This window comes from Homo sapiens, chromosome 4 (genome assembly GCF_000001405.40).
Source record: "Homo sapiens chromosome 4, GRCh38.p14 Primary Assembly".
Classification (NCBI taxonomy): domain Eukaryota; kingdom Metazoa; phylum Chordata; class Mammalia; order Primates; family Hominidae; genus Homo; species Homo sapiens.
The window spans coordinates 113,280,133-113,305,171 of NC_000004.12; the positions used below are offsets into that span (position 1 = coordinate 113,280,133).

The window sequence follows — 25,039 nt, forward strand, 5'->3', positions numbered from 1 at the left end:
TTAGTACTCATGAGTACTTTCGTTGAACTCTTACAATGTGCAAAGAAAGGATTATAGGTACTCAATGGGAGGTAAAATTGTAAAACGTGTGTTCTCTTTCCACAAGGGACTCTCAATCTACTTGTAAGAGAAGACCTAGATTATAAAATAATGTGTATAGTTTTCCTAAGGAGATAAACATAGCCTTGATTTCTAGCCTCTACCTTGTATGGTCCTTAATCTTAGGCATGCACGTACCGAGTTCAGAAGATGACATAAAGCATTTGTCTACTCCAGAGTCCACAGTAGGATGGGTATTCTGGGAATGCCTCTCTAGTGTCTTTCACTTATCTGCCCCAGCCTGTCAATGAACATGAGCCCTTCATCTTTGGGGCCACTCCTAGAGGGCTCCAGATGGTAAGATCCCCACTGTAGTCTCCACTTTAGACTCTCTTTCTGCTCATTATAATGTCTCCTCTCCTTAATACACACGGTCCTTTGGCCACGAGAACTTTGCTTCTTTCCACCAGAGTCCAGAACCTTCTCTTAGTCTTTATTGGGAGTGCTGCAATTATTTGAGTCCAAAAATGTTTCCTCTTTGTGGAGTAAGAGGGCTTTTCAGATCTTGTAGGTTGAGTATCTACCAGGCAAACCTCCTCCATTGCCAGAATTGACACCTTCTTTGATGATCGCTTATGTTGTTTTGCTAAAATATCCCTGTACCTAACCTTAGTAGAGCCCATGCTGTAGGCAGTGGGGTAACTAAGACTAAAGAAACACATTGTAGCAAAAAGAAGTTGACTAAACTTATTTGGTCCACAAAAATCTGTGTGTCCTTTTTTTCAATAGAGTCTATGGACACAAATACAGTATTTTGAAGCATCTGGGACCTCTGATCAGACCCTGAAAAGGCTTCCAAGCTGAATTTCCTTCAGTTGCTTCAGGAGAAACATTGTTTGTCAAAAATGAAAGATACTTATTCTTGCTTGGAGAAATGGGGACAGAGTAGATAATGTAGGGTTGTGTGAGGATCAAGATTTGATGATAGCTCATAAAGACATTTAAATTCTCAAAACACTTTTTTATTTTTTGGTACACTTTGCAGTTAGCTTTAAGGAAATAGCATGACCTAAAAATACCTCTCAAGTTTGATTACAGGCTCAAACCTGTAATCCCAGCACTTTAGGGGGCCAAGGTGGGCAGATCGCTTGAGCTCATGAGTTTGAGACCAGCCTGGGCAACATGGTGAAACCCCATCTCTACCAAAAATACAAAAAAATTAGCCAGTCATGGTGGTGTGTGCCTGGAGTCCTCGGTACTTAGGATGCTGAGGTGGGAGGATCACTTGAGCCCAGGAGGTGGAGGTTGCAGTGACTGAGATGGCACCACTGCGCTCCAGTCTTGGTGATGGAGCCATACCTTGTCTCAACAAATAAATAAATAAAACATCTCATGGTAATCTCACAAGAAGCACTTGGTCATTATGCTCTCTTTCCCTTCAGCATGTCACTGAAGGGAAAAGCCACTGTTTTTAATTTCTATCACACATTTTGAATGGAAAATTCTACCGGATTTGATAAAGAAAAGGAAATAAAACAATATATGTTGCAGACTTACAGTTGTTCCACATTTTTTTCTTTTAACTAAACATGGGGTATAGAGTTTTGTTCTTGTAAGCAGAGTATGAGTTTTCCTGTCCCTCTCCACAAACTCCCGCCCGAAATAAGTAGCCTCATATTTGTACTTTCAAAGCAGCAGGTTATAAAGAAGGGGAGATCTAGGATTTGAATGGACCACAAGATTCATATAAGCTAATTTTGTTGTTGAATATATTTTAAATTAGAATGCAACCCATTAAAGACAGGGATCATGTCATGTTCACCATTGTATTCCCACACCTAGCACACTGCTCGGCATATTCTAGGCACTCAGTAATATTTGTTGAACCAGTTTAAAGTACAATCCAAACAGAAGCATATTAGTTGGAGTATTATAGTAAGATAATAGAAATAATTCCATTTGATTCTTTATGTTATAACCATATGTGAAGTGTAGCCTTGGTTCCAGATAGCACACACAATTCAAGAGCAATATTGACAAACTAGAATCAGCTCAGAACAGGTCATCCTTATAGGGAGAGATCTAGAAATGGCACTTCCATCAGGAATGGTTGAAGGAATGGAGAAAATTAACCTGGAAAACAGAAAACTAAAGGTGGATATGAAAATCATCCCCAGTATTTAAAGGATGGTCATGTAGAAGAGGAACCTGGCTTATCCTATGTTGCTTTTCAGGAGAGAAGCAATATTATAAGGAGAGAATTTTTAGTTCTGGAGCTTTGATGTCTATATCTGTCTTACAGTAGAATGGGGTGCCTTGTGACTTTTATTGTAGAGATTCGGTTATTGTTGAATGGAAACGTGATGAGTAAGAGTTTGGATTAACTGTAAACTCACTTTTAACTCTTCTATTGATTAGAGATTTTTATTTCCTTTAGAGATACGTATTAGAGCAATTGTTAATCTTACTCTATATGCATGTGTTTTATTTTTGTTCTTTTTAGAATGGCTATACTCCGTTACATATTGCTGCCAAGAAGAATCAAATGCAGATAGCTTCCACACTCCTGAACTATGGAGCAGAGACAAACATTGTGACAAAGCAAGGAGTAACTCCACTCCATCTGGCCTCGCAGGAGGGGCACACAGATATGGTTACCTTGCTTCTGGATAAGGGAGCCAATATCCACATGTCAACTAAGGTATTCTGTCCTTTCTTGCATCAATCAAGAGTGTTTTGGATGCATGTAAACAGGAACCAATCGCAGACAGTTTGGAACAAAAAGGAGCAATGTATTAAAAAGAAACAGGGATATCTTACAGACCCCAAGGACAGGAAGGGAGTCAAGCCTTATGAGAGATTAGAAAACCATAAGGAAGCAAGGGAGAGAGACTCTCTGTATGGCAACACTTTGGCTTCTTGACTTTTCTATGCAAGTCAGTTTCATTCATCTCTACATCCCCGCTTTCCTTGCTTTTCTCTGTGTGTCTAAAGAGGCTACCCTGTAGCTCCCAATGTTAACATCACTATAATTGCTCCAGTGTCTGCTGCTCCTCATTCTAAATTTCATATGTATAGAGAGAGAAAGAATGCTTCCATCTGGGGTTTAGCTTAAACAACTGCCTCTAAACTGGCAGGCCGATGTTCACCACCCAAGGCATTCTTTAGTCCTGCTGGGCATCTGAGGCACCTATGGATAGGAGAGAGGAAACTCAATAAAATACAGATTTTTTTCCATCAACGTAGGCCTAGCTTGAGAGGTTTGGTGGTGGTGGTGAGAAAATCATTTTTTTTTAATAAAGCACATCAGTCATTTTAGCCTTTCTCCAGGGACTGGCCTCTATAGACCTCCGCATTAATTATAATACAATGGCAGTCAAAGATATAATGGAAAAATATTCAAATATAAAAATATATATTTTTACAAGTATATGTCTTTTGATACATCTATCCATCCATCTACATAAAGACCTATAGATCCATCTATCTAACTTTCTATCTTACACTTATATATATGCTGCTATAGCCAGCTGCTGAGAAACACAGAATTGGAAACTGTATTTATTAAGTTGGTCTGTCATTTGATGTCTTGATGCTTTTTGTAATACATTATATGAGCTTAGTGAAAATTACGTTTCTTAGCTCCTTCCATAAATATACAAATACTCTATGTTTTCTACATTTCATTGTTAGTTGGTACTTTTAAAGTATCAGTGATAAGTTGGTCTTAATGACATTTGTAAATAGGTTATGTAGCATGCATCCTTCAGGAAGAGCTATGAAACAGGCAGATTGCCTTGAATACTTCTGCAGTCCTAGTCTATTTTCTTGTCACTCAGAAGTGTTCCTGTACATCCCCTGCCCTTACGTACTTCTCTGGCCTTTATAAAAAGTCCCCACAAATCCTTTTTTAAAGCACGATGAGAGCAAATTATAGGGTTAGTCTTCCAAAGGATAGTTGCATTTTTATAAGAACGAACACGATAAAGCCTTATAGTGAAATTCCGTGTATCAGATGGACAATCATTACAGTCTAGGGCATGGGCGTCCTTGTGACTGTTGACGTCATGTCATTCAGGTGGTCATTTACCCTGTTGGAGAAAATGTGATCATGAAGCATAGAATATTTTATTTAGTATTAGTGTATGAAGGGGGCATGTGTTTACTCTATTAATAACAAATAAATCTTCATTTGAAAATCAGCCAAAGAAATCCATAAACAATTCAGCAGTATTTTGAGTAGGATTAAAATTCCAGATAGTTCATGAAACTGATCTTACAGTGCTTCTGATGGTGTTATTTTTAATTTATAAAAATGACAAGTACATATCTGAAATCAGTTCACTATGTCCTCCTTTACGGTATTCTTCTAAATACATTACTTTCTTTGACAGCGTTTTATCAGTTAGCAAACATTTAAGGAGTATTTTTTAGTTGCACACTCAGCAATGAAGAAAAACATTCAATTTTGAATCACAAAGTAATTTTGTTATCTTTATAACAATGATTTCAGTATTACATGTGAGTGGTGTCCTAAACACATAGTATGTTTATCACTAGAGTAAAACTTTAGTAAGTTTACACAGATATATCTGAATAATAATACAATATACAAAATTTACATAAAACATATAACCTTGCCTTTTGGTTAGAATTATAAGATAATGCAACTATAAAAATATCTCAGATAAGCAGCAAAACTGATAAAATAATTTCCCATTGCTTTTGAAGAAAACATATATTCTTTTCTTTTTAAGGCCAACTCAATAATTTCATAGTCTCCAAATGATTATTTCACATTAGGAACTATAATATAGAAGTGATATTATAATCATTGTCCAAACACCATCTATCATAAAATAAAACCAAAAAAGATCCGTCGTTGGGTCCACCAGTGTGTCTTAGGAAATAAATTACTTTTTTTGAAAAGAACTTCAACACTTTCTATTTTCTTGATTTATTAGAAAAGTTTTTTTTTTTTTTCCAGAAACCTTTCAAACAGTGTTTTTCCTCTATTCTCACACCTACCACACAACAATCATCAACACAGAAGACTTCTGTGACCAAATGCGGAGAGGTTTTCCCCACATACCAAGCAGCACACACCAGCTGGTGTCCTCCAATTCAGTTCTAACACTGTCTATCTGGAGAGAGTGTTAGATCCCTTCAGTTGAGGGCTCAGTCCCCAAGACTGCCCTCTGCACAGACACCAATCACAAGTCTGGGCCTCTGAACTTCTGACCTACTGGCTTCAAGTTGGGGTTCCCAGGACACTCCCTTTGAGTTCCATTAATTCACTGGAGTGGCTCACAGAGCTCACAGAAACACTTACATTCACAGTGCTTACAGTTTCTTATAAAGGCTATTACAAAGGATGAAGATGAGGAGACACATAGGGCAAGGTATGAGGGAAGGCACACAGCTTCCATGCCCTTCCTGGGTGCACCACCCTCCACAAGGAAGCTCCAAGTGTTCAGCTATCCAGAAGCTCCCCGAGCCCTGTCCTCTGGAATTTATGGAAGCTTCATGATGTCAGCATTCATTCCCCCAGGATATAGGATGGGACTGTCTCTCTCAGGAGGGTCTTATGATCCACAAATGCTGGGAGGGAAGATTAGAGCCTAGCCTTAGGGAAAGTGAAAGGAGGCCGGGGGAAGGTGGGAGATATTTTGTTTCCTGAGGCCTGGCCCTGAGGCCTAAAACGCACAACGTTATAACAAAAGACTGTAATAACGGCTATGGGAGTTATGAGACAGCAACTGTGGACAAAAACCTATATTCACTGCAGTTTACATCCTTTGATTTGGATATGCAAGTTTACCACAATAAACTGCAGAGATTTTCATACTGGTTGTTAGTTTGTAATCTTGCATTGCAGAAAATCCATTCTGCAAATAGAGCAGAAAAAAGCACACATATTTAAAAGTCATCAAAAATGTCTTTGAGATTTGATGATCACTTCATGTGATGATCACTTCAATAACATTTTTAAACAGACTATCTCTGTAAAGAGAAATATTCTGTTTGTTATTTTAGTAAGGAGAAAATTAAGAAAGAATCTTGTTTTATCCTAATATTCACATTTTTTATACATTAGGATTAAATAATATTTGTTTAGAAGTGAAGAAAATTTTAATAGAAAAGGATACACCTTCTATCTCACCCTGTGTTTTACGAAACTCAAAGTTGAGCTCACCCAGAGCTCTCAGGATTAAAAAGCTCCAGGCCCACAAGGAAAAAGCCTCCTCTCACGTTGTAGAATGGTTTTCTCTCTCTAGGTTTCACTTACATTTTTGAAATAAGGTCAGTGTCCTTTTTGATTTCCAGAAGTAGCACCATGGCTGGAGATCATGAATTTTGAAGAACATGGCTTAGCTTTCTCAGCCTAAGTGCTAATGCAGGAGAGTGGGCCTGAAAAGTTGTGGTCAACAGGGCTGGTCAATTTTAATCAGATGTGAACTGGGGAAGAGGTGCTGACTCAGAGCCCAGGTAGCCACCTCAGTCTATAGCTGCAGGATGTCCAGGAAGAGCATAAATATACTAGGCATTTGAACAATAGTGAGGGGAGAGAAATATACAGTATAAATATACTGTAGGCTAGAATGTAAGCTCCATAAAGACAGAAACTTTTGTTCACTGCTGTATTCAAGTGCCTAGAATATGAACACTTCATGACATATGAAACATACTCAAGAAAACACCCGTAAACATGTAAGGCTACCAGAGTGTGACATTGGCTGAATAAGCCACTTTCCCCCATCTTTTCTCCATGCCTTTCTTTTTTTATTATTAATTCATAACTGTACCTTAATTGGATATTCAAATAATTACTTGATGTATATATACCAAACATGTTGCATAAAGCTGAGCAGTTGATGGTGCTGTATAAATAATGAGGTTACTTTAAGGTAATGTTTAGAGGAACCTCCTGAAAAGTATACCCTCTTTGGGTGCTGGAGAAAGTTTTTCTGAACTCATTTCCTGTAACTGTCCATTTTTTACACTGATGTGATATTTTGTTGATAAAATATAGATGATTATTATGCTTATAAAATAGGTGTAATAGTTGGTTGATCAGCTATTTAAATAAATAAGTTGATACAGCGGGACATCCAGATGGATTTGAAATACATGCCATTTGAAAGCTTATTGGCTGTGCTATTTTAAAGTCTCACATCATAATATAAGAACCCATTATAGAAAATAGAAAATGTAATTTGCCTGATGTGTTGATTGACTTAGAGGACATGTCTTAGAGGAAACACCATTAATTTAGAGAGTTTGCCTTGAATATCAGAAGATATAGTTTCTGGGAAGAGGCTATGAGTTTTCCAGGATATTTTCAATATTTTCAATATTTTTTCATAATATTATAGATGATGCAATGTATTTTCTTCTTCAACTGTATCCCTTTGGTTCCATTCTTTCTGTAGAGTGGACTCACATCCTTACACCTTGCAGCCCAGGAAGATAAAGTGAATGTTGCTGATATTCTCACCAAGCATGGAGCTGATCAGGATGCTCATACAAAGGTAAAGCAAATCACTCTCAGTATTGTGACAGGTTCTGGCTGGGATGATTCCCAGTAGCCCCCATTCGGGTCACCCCATGTCCAGGGTCTTCCCTCCTCAAGAGTCCATTCTGAAATATAAACTAATCATAACCCTCTCCTATGCACAAATCTATGGTGGCTCCCCATTTTTTGCTAGAATCAAGTCCAGTGGATAGCATGAGGTCAGGACCCTTTGCAGGAAGACTCCAATTTTGCAGCCTTAAGTCTATCCTCTCTCTTACTGCTTTAGCTAGTTCACATGACTTGCTGCGTTCCTCTTCTATTTGCTCATCTCCATGCCCTTGGTCTGGAAATGGATTTTCCCTCTCTATGCCATAAAATTCTTACCCATTCTTTAAGCCTGCTGTAGCTACATGTTTCCTGCATCTCCTATCAGAGTCATTCTGTCTTTGCTGTTTTCAGATATTATTTATGCCTCTCTCTTAGTTCTTTGCAGATTTTGTCACCCACATCTGATCTCTCTTGCTGATATGAAGTTCCCTGTGGTCAGGGGCACATATATAATCTGCTAAATAATATCTTTAGTCAAATGGAATCCTATAATAACTGATACTCTACCCAGTCCTTCTCCTCTGGGGTATTAACCACTAGAGTAGTAAAGTTTCTACTTTATCTATTTTTAACTTTTTATTATTATTTACAGCTTGGTTACACACCTTTAATTGTGGCCTGTCACTATGGAAATGTGAAAATGGTCAACTTTCTTCTGAAGCAGGGAGCAAATGTTAACGCAAAAACCAAGGTAAAGTACTTGTGGTCATTTTCAATTCCTATAAGCAAAAAGGTTCAGCCATCTGGATGCTTCACTAGTTTACCAAAGCTACAAGTGTATTTTTTTCTTCCTTTTTAGTTCTAAAGTGATTTTGACGAGGTGATGTAGTTTTGTAATTATTTGAGAATTTTCATTCTAATAACTTTGACATCCATGAAGGTTAGCTTCGAACTACTTCTATTATAAAGTTAAAGTAGCTGACATCGATTTAACAACTTACTGCAGGATACAATAGATGCCGGCTAGAACATCTTGATGTTCTGGCAGATTTCCTTTACATTGTTTCAGTGGCTTGGCCCCCCTCCCCTGACCCCTTCTCCTCTCATGAAGAAATACAGACAGTCAGCCTAGACTGCGTGCCTTTCATTTTTAATGAACTCTGTCACATTCAGAACATCACATGGACATGCTCAGTGAGGCAATAATGTATAAGGCCTGGGCTGGAAGTTCTCAAGGATAATGCAGAGCTGACTTGATCCCAGCAGTTTCCCCAGTGGCATTTGAAAGGTCCTATTCAGCAAAGCAAGGTTGGAACATAACACTTTACTTCGTGCACTCAATGTGGTTCAAGGTGAATAGAAGTTCATATTGTAACTGTGGCTATTATGCATACTATAACTTGCAGCTCCAAGTTCTTTGATCCAAAGAAATATTTGTTTGCACATTTATTTAAGTTCATATATCAGAAATTTCTTTTTCTTTTTTTTTTTTTTTTTTAAGACAGGGTCTTACTCTGTTGCCCAGGCTGGAAAGCAATGGCACGATCAGAGCTCACTGCAGTCTAGAACCTGGGCTCAAGTCATTCTCTTGCCTCAGGACTGGCTAGGACTATAGGTGCATGACACCATGCCCGGCTAATTTTTAAAAGTTTTTGTAGAGATGAGGTTTCACTGTGTTGCCTAGGCTGGTCTCGAACTCCTGGGCTCAAGCGAAATTCTCCCACCTTGGCCAACCAAAGTGCTGGGATTACAAGTGTGAGCCACCAAGCCTGGCCCAGAAATTTCTGACTGCAGCTATTTGAATGGGCTCAAGTAAATTAGTGTGAGCACATTCAGGACTTTTCAAAGCCATCATTCAAGATTCTATAAATTAAAAATATACAGAAGTTTTATAAGTCAGTCTTTATATTCTCTTAGAAGCAGAAACAAAATCATTTCTATACATAAGCATGTTTATAGCTAATTTAAAATAAACTTATTTTTAAACTATAAATAATACTATTAACATTTAAGATTTAAACTTATAATCTTACTCTAGCAAGAATAGCTTGCTGCCTAGTTTCTGACCAGTTCTTAAGTTCTCATGAAATTGAACTTTGAGACTTATTTAAAGCCTCTAATATGAATTCTCAGGCATTAGCTCCTAAAGCCTTTTCTGATGAGCCAGCTCCCATATAAGCACTCCAGGAAAGACATTTTGGTTGGAATCCAAGTATTCTCTTGAAATGAACAAATGCAACAGTACAGTGAGATGTTGGCAGGGCTTGAAAATGCTTATCATATTTTTAAATGTTTCATTGTTGAAATGGTTATAATATTTAGTAGGCAAACACTATATTGTCTAGAGAATATCAATGGTCTCCCTGGAGTTTGACCTGCACTGAATGAAGATTTGATTGAAAGAAAAATCTCATTTTATCATTTCAGTTTTTTTTGTTTTTTTTTTTTTAAGTGAACTAAGTTGCTTGCAGTGTTACATTTGGAACCATATATCTTTAGGGAAATAGATACAAACCTCAAAGGACAGTCTTTTAATAAACTCTTCAGATTTTTTTTCACATGAAAATGACATCTTTGGGAAAGGAATTAGGTTTTCTTCCTCATATCTTATGTGTAGCTGTAGTTACTAAAAATGGATTCATTGCTTTAAAAATGTAAACATATACATTAACTTTACTCTGTAAACTCTCATGATGTGGTATAAAAGATTTGGCAAAATTAACTTGTTTTATAAGACTATTTGTTGCTTAAAATTAGAATGAAACCCTGTTATAGCAACTTGGGACGAACCAGACCTGGTTAATCATATATTTAATTTGTGAAGAGGGTTTAGAACAGCACATGAAAAAAATTGTATTTATTAAAGACACTGTGAAGATTATAGAGCTCTTCAATTAGAAAAACAAACAAACAAACAAACAGAATGAAAACAACACCACCAAAGTGATTGCTAAAATTTTGAAAGCTAGAAAATAAAACATATTCATGAACAACTTATCTTATCCTTCATCAAACTTGAAATCTTGGCCATTTCCATTTTTCAAATGAGGAAACTGGGGCTTAGAGAGGATTAAGGGTTTGCAAATGATTGGTAGCACTGGGTCTAGAGCTCCTAGCCAGATGGGCCTATGACAGTGGATTAAGAATCAACCAAATGTTTACGTAAACACTTCTGAATTGCTCCAGACTTCCCTGGCAAATATCCTCACTGGGGATTTCAGGTAAAGGTTAGATTAAATCAGGGCTGGGGAACATTTTTGTGGCCACAATGTCCACTGATCTATTGAGGGCAAGAACGTTGCTTTGGCATTATTAATTTACATATATTTATAGATAATTTAGGTTTGTTTATATATTATAGTGATATATTATTTTATTAATTTACATGCTAAGTTATTTAGCACATAGTGTGTGATTAGTAAATGCTTGTTGAATGAATTAACTTGGCTGATACTGAAAAGATGAACTAAATTCAATGGATTTAATGGATGTAAACACAACAAAAAGGAAGAATTTTTACAAAAAGAAGTATCGCTTAGTGTATTCTCCTCAAATGTCCATGGATTATCTGATTTGACCGCAGAGTCCCTGTAATAGCCAAAGGCTTCTTGGAGTCCCTGTAATTGATTTATATTTTCAGGTTTCCTGGGGTCATCCCATTGTAGGGATTTATAAGGAGATGTAAGACTTCCAACATGACAGAGTTGAGGATGTGCCACACTTAGAGACACTTAGGTAACCCTGATACATGTGGGCATGTTCCTATGGGCAGACAGAGTGCAGTGAATTTATAAAGAAATCATGTAGCACCCACATCTATAGTAGACAGAACAAGCAAATATGTATGTTGCTCACAGGGCAGCAGTGACATTGGATGAAAGGGGTATGTACACTTAAAAGCTTAGAGTATGAAAGGGCCACTCAGAACTTAGAGCCCAGGACAACTGGGTCTGAAACATATAGATAAAATTTTATGAGAAGTGAAGCAGGTGGATTTTAATAAATAATAGCCATTGTCTGGTAGCCATTGGCTGTCATAGTCTTCTGCACAGGATCTGAACCTCGCCCGATTGTGGAGAAATTACTTAACTTTCTTATTTTCAGTTTCATCACGTCTGAAATGGGGAGAAAAGCTGTTCTTGGAAAGGAATATAAGATTTAGATTTACTTTCAATGATTTAGAATCCCTAAAGCTAAGCCAAAGGTTAATTATTAGGAGAGTCATGATGAACAAGCAGTGGTTTATATGACCCTCTGCAACCTTCAGTTAAAAACAATTTTAACTCTTGTTTCCCAGGGAAGAAATCACAGATAATGCTGTTTTCTTATTTTAAATCTCTCTTCTCAGCTCAGATGTGAGCAGAAGTCGACTGCACCCACCCCCTTCACCTTCTTAAGGGAGCCCTCCTTTTTAATGCTAACTGGTTAAAATGTAATAATAGTTATCATTTGGAGTCTGTTAATCTTGTTTCATCAGCTGGTCTCTTCTCTTTGCTTAGCAGACCATAAGGTGTGAGGGAGTGTTTGCTGCTGAGAAATGGGTTGCTGATCATCTTGGGCTCCAAATAAAGCATCTGTGATGGTTTTGTTGTAAATAAGACTATTCAAAATGAAGGCTAACCTAATTTTCCTCTCCCTCTGCCAATCGGGTGCTGGGCCCGCCACCACTGTCCTCCACAGAACGGCTACACGCCTTTGCACCAGGCCGCTCAGCAGGGTCACACGCACATCATCAACGTCCTGCTCCAGCATGGGGCCAAGCCCAACGCCACCACTGCGGTAAGGCAGACGCCACTGCCCCTCACCACGCTTTCTTCTTTTTCCTCTCTTGCCCTGGTGGCTTCTTGTCTGAGCTGAGTGAGGTCAGATTCCTCCTCTTTAAATAAGCCCCCTGGACTCTGGAAAGCCCCAGATTTTTGGGCAGGCTTTCCAGAAGTCAGTGTGACTTCCCCAGAAGTGCTTGCCCTGGGAGGGAAAGCAGTCAGCCTGACTCTTTGGCTCTCTCTGGAGACGGGGGCCCTCCGCTTGGGCTGCTGGAACGTGCTCTGCTTACAGCTGGCTCTCAGATGTGAGCACAAATTGACCCCCCCTCGCCTTCTTAAGGGAGCACAGTAAGGGAGCTGCTAGCTTAAACAAAGCTCATTGAGTTGTGGAGCCATTGAAATGTAAACTAAGCGGTGCAATTAAACGAACTGGGATCCCGAGTGGCCTGGGTTGGATGCAGCCCGAATTGCTTGCCTGTGTTATTTTGCTGCACAGTGAGCTTCTGCACAGCTGTAGCTAAATATGTTACCGTGTTCCCGATGGTAACATCTTACCTGCAGCAGATGGCCTGACTTCTGATGAGGGATAAGTGTACCTGGTACTTGCTAACAGGTTTTGGAGACGTCATGAGGCACTTTCTTAAGTGCAATACAGTATTTGTAGAAGATATTTGACAACCTTAGGGTTAAAGCGTCAAGTGCTTCTTATTAAAAAGAGCAAGCAGATGCAAGCTTGTTGTGTTACCATGGTGACCTGGCCTATAGTCTGAAGAAGTTACAAAGACAGATTTAGACGTAATGGTAAAAACTAGTGATTTTCCTAAGCTGTGCCTTGTTTTGGAAGGAAATGCTGGCTGATGCAGAGCAGCGGGTGAGCTCATTGGCTCACATCGCAGTCCTCTCTCTTATTTCTCACTCTCTCTCTTTCACTCTCTCTTCAGAATGGCAACACTGCCTTGGCGATTGCTAAGCGTCTGGGCTACATCTCCGTGGTCGACACCCTGAAGGTTGTGACTGAGGAGGTCACCACCACCACCACAGTGAGTATGAGTGACTGACTAGCTTCAGCCCTGTTATTCTTCGTTTTCAAACTAAATACATGTACAGTACTTTTTCACTCACAAGATGTTTGGAGCTTTTAGTTTTGAACTTCTTTTTGTTGAAAGTATTGTAGCACATACATAGGCGTATGCAGAAGTAAATGGATTCACACAAGGAATACAGGGCTTCGGCTTCCTTTACTCAGCATCTATCCCTATAAAAATGTGTGAATATAGTTTTATAATATTTAATTCCTTTTTCTGTGACTGGCTTCTTATTTTCTGGCTTCTGTGCCCTTTCCTTTAGTTGTGTGTGACACCTACCGCTGGCAAAGCGGTAACACACTCCACTGCAAACTTACCTTAGCCAGGAGGTCAGGCCAGCCTCTGGAAAGACCCTGCTCCTCCCAACACTGTGCTCATGACTGGATCAAATGGACTCCCAGTGAGAGCAATTCATCCTTACTTTGCATCTTATTTCTGATTATTATTTTTTAATTCAAAAAGAGAATTCCTTGTGCTTTCTAGGTAAATTGTTTCTGTGTTGTGAAAAAGTATATTTTAAAATTTCTTATTTTCTCTGTTTTGAATACAACTGCTGACTCTTCATGACAAATCAGTGATTATCACTGGCCTTTGCTAGAGAAACTCTAGAAGAGTAAAGACCATGACAATATTGAGTCCTAATGCTCCTGTACCATTCAGTGGGAGCAAAGTTTAAAGGAGCCTCCTGAGAGGGGGCTCCTACCTGAAAGTGGAAGTGCTATTATATTTGCATTTATTCACTCACTAACTTTCTACTTTAAGCATGGATTAAAGAATGGCTCTTTAATTTAGCTTCGTAAAGTAGAAAAGTAGAACAGTACGACATGAGAAGCTCTTCAAAGACAATAAAACCACAAATGAACAAATAAAGAATTCTGAAGGAGGTTCTAGTAAATGCTCCAAACTAAAAATGCATATAGAGTTTGAAATGCTTGGTGTTTTTGACAGATGTGAGGAAAAAGAAAGGAATTTTGTTCTTCAGGCTGACAGTAAGTTCCTGTTGACATATATTGAAGTGATGGAATACAGTTGGTTTAACGTGCAGTTTTAAGCAGAGTGGCCTATGATTTATTAATGAGCTGCAAGACACAAACTGAATTTAGATGGGAAAGAATAGCACTGCTTGTTTTCTGAAGCAGAATCTTAAAACCTTCAGCCAGTTCACCACAATATTTTTAAAGATTTAAGGTATAGCTTTGATAAATTATATAGGAGAAAAACAGGTCTTGTCACTGCCTAGCACCATACTTGTAGGTCACTATATTTAATGGCTTTTTCTTATTTTATGATTTCTTATACCAGGAAAATCTTCATATTAAGGGCCTACACATATATGCCACTTCATTTGATATCTTTAAAACAAGGTGTACATCACAATACGTGAAGCCTTTAGTGGCAAGATTGGCCAAGCACACCTGTTCTGCCATTAGAAGTCATGTTTTCTCTCAACTTTTTACCTTTTCCCTGCTCTGGGAATAATGTATGTTTATTTTACCAAGTTATCACTAGATGGCAAGCTTGTATCTCTTGCTATCTTGTACCTACTTTGCTTCCATTCATTTCATTAACTGATTTATTCCTTCATTATTTATTGGATATAAAATATGTGCTAAGTTCTGTGCTAAGTGCTGAAGAATTATCAGTGGTGAAAACATTACTCCTCCCCACCAGCAACTTCAGTGTCATGAGAGTAGAGAATGAGACTCAGGCTTGGTAAGAAAATACATTCATATTTTACTCAACAAAACTATGGAACTTATATGTCTGGTTTCAAAGAGATCTCAGGTTTGTAGATATTACTCAGGTGAATGACTTCAAACAAAGATCTATATTTAAAAAGAAGAGCAAATAAGCATTCTCTGGTTTGTCTCTAAATACTGTAATTGCTGTCTCAGTGTCCTTGTCAGAAATCAGATACAAGATCATCTCTCTACCACATCTATCTCTGGAAAAGATGGGATGAAAATTCCTTTTAGAACCCCCTCTGTGAGCTTTTTTTCTTTTCTGGTAACTATTATTCTCTACATTCTGTAGCTGAGCATTGCTCCATCAAAAGTCGCTATACTTAGAATTCAAGTTTCTAGGTGAAAAGCCAATAAAAATAGAAAACATAACAGCATTTCTCCTTTCAGTTAGGACACTAAGAAATCATTGTCCACATGAGCTAAACAAGTATCTCTGTTACCTAAATGGATAGTTTTAATGGTTACATGTTTCGATGCTGGTCTCTCTTCACTGTCTGCTGCTCTTTGAACTGGTTTCTCTTATAATTGTGAGCTTAATTGTTTTGTGAAATGGAATTTTGGGGTAAGGATTGGAAGAATAGACTTATTCTCATCTATTCTGGGAGTCTTCTTACAATAAACTTCCTCTCTTTGGAAAGAGATTTTCAATCATTCTTTTCCCACATAATATTTTTTCCACATAATGTATTGTTAATGATATTAAAAACAGTAATATTTAAGTTTAAAAATATGTAAGGCATTGAGGGAAGATCTAAGCTTCAGATTTAGGTTGTCGGGTTTTAAAGCCCATGTTCTTAACCTTTCTGATATAACTGACTTTGGTTTTGCTGAAAATAGCTTAATAGGAATTTTGTGAAGAAACTGTTTTCACCTAATTTTCAACAAAAAGAAAAACCACTTAAATAGTGCTCTTTATTGATTTTTGTGGGAGAGTGATATTCAATATCATTTTCTAAAATCTACAGTCACAAAAATAATTTGAAACTACTGATGATAGCACAATAGACAACTTAATAGTTAAGTAAAATTAATAAAAGTTAATGTTATTACCGCTCAAATGCAACAGTTGCATTACACCTGCACAACTGACATACTAATTTAACATGAATTGGATTTGTATGATGTGCCATATGAGCAACCATGTAGTCCTTTTGATCAAAGAAAGTTTCCTTTCCTATTCTTTCTTTTGAGTTCTTTACCCCAAAGTATGAATAAAGTCGTTGTGTAGAGACCAGAATAAGGCAGTAGTTTGTAAAGGAAAAACCACTTCTGTAGAAACTTCTGAGACATTTTGGAATCGTAGTTTGTTTCCTTAACCTTTGCTTTTCTAACTTTACTTTGTGAGATACAGCAGGGAATATGAGACATTTTAGCATTCTCCTGGGATTACAATCACTACATGTTTGCCAGAATGGATATCAGAATGGTAGAGACACATTTCTGGTGACAGAAGCCAACAAGCCCAATCCACTAATGCAGCTTGGAAGAACTGTGACATATGACTCATCCTTCCGCTAATTGATCAACCATCATCAATTATTTCTATTATTTGTATAATCTTAAAGTGATTGTGTTTTATGTTGCATATAATTGGTATGCAGACCATAAATTACTGAATAAATTAGTAAAATAAAAATATTATCTTATATTATTACTTGAACATTAGGGAATAGTTCAGTAAACTCAGAAAATGTGAATATTCTAAGTCCTAAATCTTACCTGATGCCATAAGTCAGTTAACATGAAAATCAGGGGAGGAGGGGATAGAGGAGTTGTCTAATGGGTACAAAAATACAGTCAGATAGAAGGAGTAAGATCTAGTGTTAGGCAGCACAGCAGGCTAACTATAGTTAACTAAAATGTATATTTCAACATAACTAGAGAAGTGGATTTGGAATGTCCCCAAATCCACTGGGGAGGCATTTTGGCCTCCCAAAATGATAGGATTACAGGCCTGAGCCCCCGCTGTGTATTTTCTTAAAAAGACATACTTAGTGCAGAATCTTTTTAAACTTTTGACATGTTTTTTCAACCTGTTATAATTGTCTCAATTACATCTAATTGGGTATTACTTTCAGTGACTCACCTTTGTTAGGACTTTAAAAAGAAATGATAAATGTTTGAGGTGATGGATATCCCAATTACCCTGATTTGATCATTATACTTATGTTTATATCAAAATATCACTTGTACCCCGTAAGTATGTACAACTGTGTATCCACAACAATTTAAAAATTTTAAAAATAGGAGCCATAAAAATGGCAATACAATAAATACTTGTAAAGTCATTTGACACCTTTTGAGGTAGAGCCAAGATCTTTTCTTTAAATATAGGTCCATCGATTAGAAATTAAATTGCCATTCTTGCACAAACAATATCAATACCTATTATATTATGTATATATATGCTATAATATGTATATTTATATGATATTTGTATGTTCTGTGTACTTTCCTTTTCTTTCTTTTTTTTTGAGACAGGATCTCACGCTGTTGCCCAGGCTGAAGTGTAGTGGTACTATCACGGTTCACTGCAGCTCAGGTGATCCTCCCATCTTAGCTTCCAGAGTAACAGGGACTACTCGGGAGTAGTAGGTGGGCAGGTGCCACCACTCCTGGCTAATTTTTGTATTGTTTTGTAGAGACGGGGTTTTGCCACGTTGTCCAGGCTCGTCTCAAACGATCCACCTGCCTTGGCCTCCCAAAATGCTAGGATTACAGTCCTGAGCCCCTGCTGTGTATTTTCTTAAAAAGACATACTTAGTGCAGAATCTTTTTAGACTTTTGACATGTTTTTTCAACCTGTTATAATTGTCTCAATTACATCTAATTGGGTATTACTTTCAGTGACTCACCTTTGTTAGGACTTCAAAAAACATCTACCCTAGTTTTTCTAGAAAAAAAACAGTATTTACATAATATTTAATTTAGTTATTAAAGTTATATTAATATGTATGATTGGTATAAGTATGTTTAGAAACAAAAACAAGTTTAGCTTGAACTCCACTGATGGAAGCTATGGATGAGGGCCTTAAAAGGTGGCATCATAACCAAGATCACTAAGTATGCTGTGGTGGCTTAGGGATTATGTGATATAAATGCAATTGGTGACCAGGAGGATTGGCTGAGTGAGGGTTGGCTAAGTGAAGATCAGTTAAACACACAGTTTCTTTTGCATAGAACAAATCAGATATTGACTACTATTTGTAAAGCAGAATGTTAAGAACTCCTACTTTATTTTCTACATTTTTCATATCGTGATTAACAATATAAATTCATTATTAAATCTCTCTTCCATCTATTATATACCATTTCTTTTGCCATATTATCCGATTTAATTATATCCCATTAAACTTGTACTTAGTGTCCTACTCATTTTAACTTTTAAAGTAGTTTCTAATCTTGACCATAGTATCTTGGATTCTGTAGCAGAAAGAGATGTCCATGATCATTTCACTATAGCCTTGTTCTCTATGTACGATTCAGAGGTAGTTGCATAAAACCATGTTTATGTTTAAATAATCAAGTTTTCAAAGGACATTTTGTTTAAAAGGAAAATATGTATTCATTTCTTGTTACATTATACATATGTAGGACTACTTATTTTCCATCCATTCAACAAATATTTAATGATGGCCTTCTAAAGGTCAAATACCTTCTCATGTATAAATGATATTATATTTACCACATTGCATATAGAGGCCATTTTTAATATCTATACAGAAAAATATCCATGACCAATATGATCACAGTGTATTACTTTTTCTGTTGCCACATATATTTGCTGATAATTCTGATAGCATTCAGTGACCAAACTGAAGTAAATTATTGTTTCCACTCTTACAAGTACAAAGAAAATATAGTCCCATTATCAGCACCTGAAAATAGAAACTGAGACTATCAGGCAATGAAACTTAATCATTTAAAAAGTATCTCCAGTAATTATTTTCAAACAGAGAATCATCTCCTTATTGAAATGTTTACTACGAAGGACAAATACTCTAAAACATTTCTGCAAAAATTAACTTTCTAATACAGTCTAATATAGTAGACATCCTTTCACATTTTTAAATATTCCCAAAAAGTTGAATAAAGGTCAGCCGCGGTAGCTCACATCTGTAATACCAGCACTTTGGGAGGCCGAGGTAGGTGGATCACCTGACGTCAAGTGTTCGAGACCAGCCAGGCCAACATGGTGAAGCCCCATCTCTACTACAAATACACAAATGAGCCAGGCGTGCTGGTGCACACCTGTAATCCCAGCTATTTGGGAGGCTGAGGCAGGAGAATGGCTTGAACCTGGAAGGCGGAGGTTGCAGTGAGCTGAGATCGTGCCATTGCACTCCAGCCTGGGCAACAAGAGTGAAACGACATCTCAAAAAAAAAAAAAAAAAAGTTGAATAAGATTTCATAGTAGGGTAGTCTCTATGTTATATTTTAAATGCAAATCATTTTCCTGCAATTTATATACTTTCCCTAATACAGGAAAATGAATCTCAAATTGAGCTGTGCAATAAACCCACCTAAGGAACCTTTAAAAAATACCCTGGTCCCCATTATAGCTGGGCCCGATCCCTATGGATTTTGATTTAATTGGTCTATGATGGGACCCAAGCAACAATATTTTTTAAATGTTTCTAATAATTGTAATATGTAGCTATAGTTGAATACCACTAATACAGAATATGGGCTATAATTTATTGGTGTTAAATTTCTAAATTAAAATTTATAATATTAAAATAATAATCAAATTGTATATTATAATAGTCTTTTTGAGTTTGTTCATTCAACAAATATTTATCAACCACTACTATTCTCCAGATTTTTGGATGGATACTTTTGTTTTTCCTGCAGCATTTAGTTTGCTTTCAGTGAATAAGACTCTGAATAAAACTATTTAAATATCACTAGAAATATGCAGGCAAGCTGAATTTACAACCCTTGCCTCCAACTGTGCCTTCATGTGAGTAGCAGGAGACTTTCTTTACTTTCTCTGTTTCTTCCTGTCTTTTAACTAAAATTCCACCCAAAGACAATCCATTTCATCATGATATGGATTTTAAATTTATTTTTTGCATAATTTAGTATTAACAAGTTTTTGATATATATTTGAAAAGCTCCTGCTATGTTTCAGGTGCTGTGGAAACAATCTTCCTCTTAAATGACTCACACTCTCATGTGGGCAGATAAGCAGAGAGGGCACACACAGTGCGTAGTGTATGACACAGCACACACGATGCTCTAGGAGTACATAGCAGCAGATAAACACAGTTAAACAAAGACATTCACTGGGGAGGATCAGGGAATGTTTCTCCAAGAAAGTCACATCTAACCTGAGCCAAGAGAAGAGGGGAAAGAAGATTTCTGGTAAATGAGAGAATATGTGGAAAAACTCAGAGGCATGAGAGAACATGACCTGTCAAAATAAAGGCAGCTCAACACGATCGTAGCATGGAATGAGAGATGAGGCCTTGCTACCTCTCGCTCTTTACTGAATCACAGGGCTCTTCTGAGCCAGTTTAATCAGTTTTCTGAAGAAAACAAAGAGCCACCAAAAAGCTCATGCAGTATCACATTATGATCACACAGATCTTATATATGTATATAGTCAGAGTTGCTCAGTGGAATTTGATTAACCAGTTGAATTTCTTTGTAAATATATTTGAAGTTATCTACTGCTTTTGGAAAGAAAATAATTGATGATAGGTTCATTATAGCCTTTCAAACAATTATCTAACATCTAGGTCAAAGCCTAAAAAACTAGACAACCTATTTTTTGTACTTTGGTGGTTTTAGTTGAAGATGTTACTCTTATGTCAAGGGATTCATTTTTTTTTAAAGTTTCCATGACAGTGTCAATTGATGCCCTTAATGTATTTTCACTACAGAAACTGAAGGTTTGAATTTGACACTCAATAGTCTTTAGGTGATGTTCAAAATAATGAGATTTGAATTTTTATGTTTTTGGGGTACACATATCTTTTATTTATTTATTTTAGTTGGCAAATAAAAATTGTACATATTTATGGTATACAACATGATGTTTTGATACACACACACACACACACACACACACACACACACATTGTGAAATGGCTAAATCAAGCTTATTAACATATCTATTACCTCCACATACATATCCTTTTTTTTGTGATGAGCGCACTTAAAATCTACTCTCAGCAATTTTCAAGTATATACTACATTGTTATTAACTGTAGTCTCCATGTTTTACAATAAATCTCTTGAATTTATTTCTCCTGTCCAACTAAAATTTTGTATCTTTTAACCAACATCTCCCAAATGCTCCTCCCCCTTCCTTCTCCAACACCTGGTCACCACCAGGTGTCTATTCTGTGCTTCTGTGAGTTTTTTAGATTCCACATATAAGTGAGATTATGCAGTATTTGTCTCTATGTCTGGCTTATTTCTATTATTCTGAAAAATCACTGGTATGTCTTGTGTCTAAAATAGTGCCAAGCATGCAGTAGACATTCAGAATTTTCCTTGAGTGCAAGAATGATTATAAAAAGTCCAGAGGCTCTTCACTTTTAAGATGCATTTAATACTGAGTTACAATAATCATAATAAATTATGGTAGCTAATATTTATGGAGTGCCAACATATGCCAAGCACTATTTTTAGAGCTCTTGCATATATTACATCATTTAATCTTCCTAACCATTTTATGAAGTACTTTTCTATCCTTTACTTATGGTTGAGGAAATTGAGGCACATGTAGGTTAGGGGACTTGCTAGGGCCTTATAGGTAATAAGTGATGAAATTAGAATTTTAACCCAGGCAGCTAGACTCAGATCCTTGTCTCTTAACCTTACACTGTACATGAGGAATGAAAGGCAGTGGATTGACAACCTTGGAGAGCTATTGCATAAGGCAAATAAGCAACAAACCAGAACTGTAGCCCAGTGAAATATTAAAGAGATGATTTGATCCTCTGATCCCAAAAGAGATGTGTCATATTTTCTGCCCAAATAGTTTATATCTTTCACATTATTTACAGCTTCTTTTCTAATGGCTTTGCTTTTAATACATTGCATATGTTCATTGTTTCTTTTTAAAGCTTTTCTGGAAACGTCACTTAGTTCATTTTAGGGAAGCTTTGAAAACATCAATCTGCTTTCTCAATACAACTAATTATTATTAATAATACCATTGCTAAAGAATTTATTTTTCAAATGAGAACTCAAAATAATGAACTGTCTCTTGTACAACTTCTCTGGCATAAATGATCATTTATCTTCAAAAAGAACAAATGAGTTTTCATGAAAGCAAATTTCCAAAATATACACGCGGGAAAGATCCCGTAGTCATGGCTCGATGGCTTGCTGCTGCTGTTGAGTGTGGCCTCCTATGTGATGCTTTTCATCTTTTGTTTACTTTTGGTTTCAACTTGAACATTAATGATTTTTGTTTTTCCAGACTATTACAGAAAAACACAAACTAAATGTACCTGAGACGATGACTGAGGTTCTTGATGTTTCTGATGAAGAGGGTAAGACTTCTATTCAATCTTCTATGACACCTGTCATGTTCTTACACAAGGGCAAATTACCCTTTTTTTCAGAGACCAAGCTGGTTATGTGGATGACAGAATCTTAACATTTAAAGTCACTTTTTCACCTTTGTTTCAATACATTTACTTTTGCCATGGCAGCGGGGGCCGGGGGCAGTTCTGATTAGTATATTTGTTTCTGGTATTATTTCTTTTTCCTAGCATTAAAATTAATGGCTATTAAATAATATGACTGGAAAAGGGGAAAAACTGGAAACTGGCCATGTGTTAAAATAGCTATATGATAACACAATTGTTATTAAAATATGTTTGAATTATGTTAAAAAATCTTTTTTTATTCAAATGACTTTAAGTAAAGACTTTAAAGTATACTCCATCAATGAGTGTTCTTCAATTGAGAAATCTCTGTATTCTGGTTGGTTCATATGTACAGAATATATTTTAAGCCCAGAGGAGAAGAGCCTTATAGAAGGTTTAAAAATAGTACAGCAGGAAGTAGTATAAATTCCACAGAAGAATGTATTATTTAAGTCAGAAAATATCCCCCCTATAATTTTAGAGTTGATGAAAAATGATCTCAGGCAATGGCTTCCTAAGTCCTGGGAAGCCTGCTTTCCAAAAAGGAGCAGTGGGGACTGCCTGGAGTGGGTGTGTGACATTGGGCTAGAGCTGGAGATGGGCCAGCTGGAGGGTGTCCGGCTCCCTATCTCTACTTCAACTAGAGTAGCTGACTTTTCTTCATTTTGTATTTTGAACTTCCATGTAATAATCCACTTGGATAAAAAAATGTGCTACTAAAAAATCATGAAAGCAGCATATAAAATTTGCAAGCATTTCTTTATGAGAAGATAGAAAAAAGAAAGAAAAAAAATCACGCAACCAAGTTTCAATAGTTCAGCTATTGGTCCAATGAACATGATTGAAAAATTACCACCATATATGTACATGAAAATGTATGTTTGAAAAATTATTGCTATTAAGAATGGCACTAGGTTTAATACTCATTGCTTTTATACAGAGAAATATTAAAGATGTTTCTTTAGGTTCTTTAAGATAAAATCATAAGATAAAACTTTACATTGAGATGTCCTTATTTAGAACCAACTTGTTGAATCACCTATTGGTAGTATGTATTGAGTTTTCTCAGCTTTTATAAAAATTTATGACAAGAATGAACAAATGTTGGATCAATGTAGTATTTTGAGTAAATTCAAAGGTATTCCCAAGGCCAGCAGTTCCAAATATTTAGTATAATTTTGTGTTCTATCTTAATACTTGCCAACTAGTTCTCAGCATTCCTATATGCATATCATATTTTGTTTTGTGGGATCATCTTTATTATCTTTACTTGTATGTTGAACAGCTCTTAAACAGTTTGGTGACCACTTTATTGATGGGGAGGCACTTAGTGATTCAGGTACCCTTAGAGGATATTTTTGGAGTGAAAGCTTTTCTTTGCTTTTGATTTTTCTTAACTGGATAGAACAACTTGTTTAAATCTGTGTGCCTAATACTAATCTGTTTCTTTTGAAATAGCATGTGTAATATGAGTGGAATTGTATATGTGTGCATTTGAGTGTGTGGATTTTATTAACTTAGAAGCCTAAAGTCATGAATTGTTTGTACTGTTAATGATTTTGCAACTATTATTGAGAACTGCTAACATAATTATATAATCTAATGAACATTATATAAATATTTTTCCACAACTATTATCTTTTCTTAGAATATAAATTTAGAGAAAAGTAATTCTTTTGTTAGTTGACATTGAGCTAGTGTGAACATGACAATAACTAAGTTAGACCACTTGAAATTAATGCAGTTTATATCACTCCCTTGGTTGATGATATATTTTAGGTGTGATTAAAAATATATTAATAGTTATGTGATTTTTAATATAGCTAAGAATAGAAATAAAGTAACATTTAAAAATTATTTAGGGTGAATTTTGCATATAAGGAAAAATGAGTAATGTAAGATATTTTATCTAGTAAGAGGTTTCCAAAGTACACGTGGTACCACTTTAAGCAACTCTATTACATGAAAATTTAAATTTATAAATCAGATAAATTGAATAGTGATTATTTAATTTAAAAATAGCCCTTTATTTACAAAATAATTGCTGGAGAATTCCATTAGTTAATACATTTAAAGTATTTAATATTGAGTTATAAACGAAATTTATAAAAAATAGCCTCGGCCGGGCGCGGTGGCTCACGCCTGTAATCCCAGCACTTTGGGAGGCCGAGGCGGGCGGATCACGAGGTCAGGAGATCGAGACCATCCCGGCTAAAACGGTGAAACCCCGTCT

The 25,039-nt window shown here is 36.4% G+C and overlaps 1 protein-coding gene across 71 annotated transcripts in view, besides 4 other annotated features; it reads left to right on the plus strand.

Moving 5' to 3' along the window:
- The window catches only part of ANK2 (ankyrin 2), a 678,115-nt gene that overhangs the window by 574,511 nt on the left and 78,565 nt on the right, over positions 1–25,039 (plus strand). For 64 of the 71 annotated variants that reach the window (NM_001386186.2, NM_001386148.2, NM_001354269.3 and 61 more), the window contains 6 exons: positions 2,543–2,740; positions 7,473–7,571; positions 8,256–8,354; positions 12,284–12,382; positions 13,308–13,406; positions 22,635–22,707. In NM_001386186.2, coding sequence (NP_001373115.1) covers positions 2,543–2,740; positions 7,473–7,571; positions 8,256–8,354; positions 12,284–12,382; positions 13,308–13,406; positions 22,635–22,707 — 667 coding nt within the window. Of the gene's footprint in view, positions 1–2,542; positions 2,741–7,472; positions 7,572–8,255; positions 8,355–12,283; positions 12,383–12,854; positions 13,168–13,307; positions 13,407–22,634; positions 22,708–24,091; positions 24,146–25,039 lie in introns of those variants that run through there. The other 7 variants (NM_001354279.2, NM_001354282.2, NM_001354280.2 and 4 more) reach the window with 2 other exon arrangements.
- Positions 11,180–11,349: an enhancer, noted in NCBI's record as "experimental_72140 CRE fragment used in MPRA reporter constructs". NCBI's record gives its function as "activates a minimal promoter by MPRAs in K562 erythroleukemia cells, with activity observed for both the introgressed and non-introgressed 4:114212553 variant alleles {active_cell/tissue: K562}" and the evidence as "EXISTENCE:reporter gene assay evidence [ECO:0000049][PMID:34662402]".
- Positions 12,263–12,782: an enhancer, noted in NCBI's record as "OCT4-NANOG-H3K27ac-H3K4me1 hESC enhancer chr4:114213551-114214070 (GRCh37/hg19 assembly coordinates)". NCBI's record gives its function as "activates a minimal SCP1, AML or CMV promoter by ChIP-STARR-seq in primed H9 embryonic stem cells {active_cell/tissue: H9 hESC(primed)}" and the evidence as "EXISTENCE:reporter gene assay evidence [ECO:0000049][PMID:30033119]".
- Positions 12,403–12,572: an enhancer, noted in NCBI's record as "experimental_72144 CRE fragment used in MPRA reporter constructs". NCBI's record gives its function as "activates a minimal promoter by MPRAs in K562 erythroleukemia cells, with activity observed for the introgressed 4:114213776 variant allele {active_cell/tissue: K562}" and the evidence as "EXISTENCE:reporter gene assay evidence [ECO:0000049][PMID:34662402]".
- Positions 12,783–13,302: an enhancer, noted in NCBI's record as "OCT4-NANOG-H3K27ac-H3K4me1 hESC enhancer chr4:114214071-114214590 (GRCh37/hg19 assembly coordinates)". NCBI's record gives its function as "activates a minimal SCP1, AML or CMV promoter by ChIP-STARR-seq in primed H9 embryonic stem cells {active_cell/tissue: H9 hESC(primed)}" and the evidence as "EXISTENCE:reporter gene assay evidence [ECO:0000049][PMID:30033119]".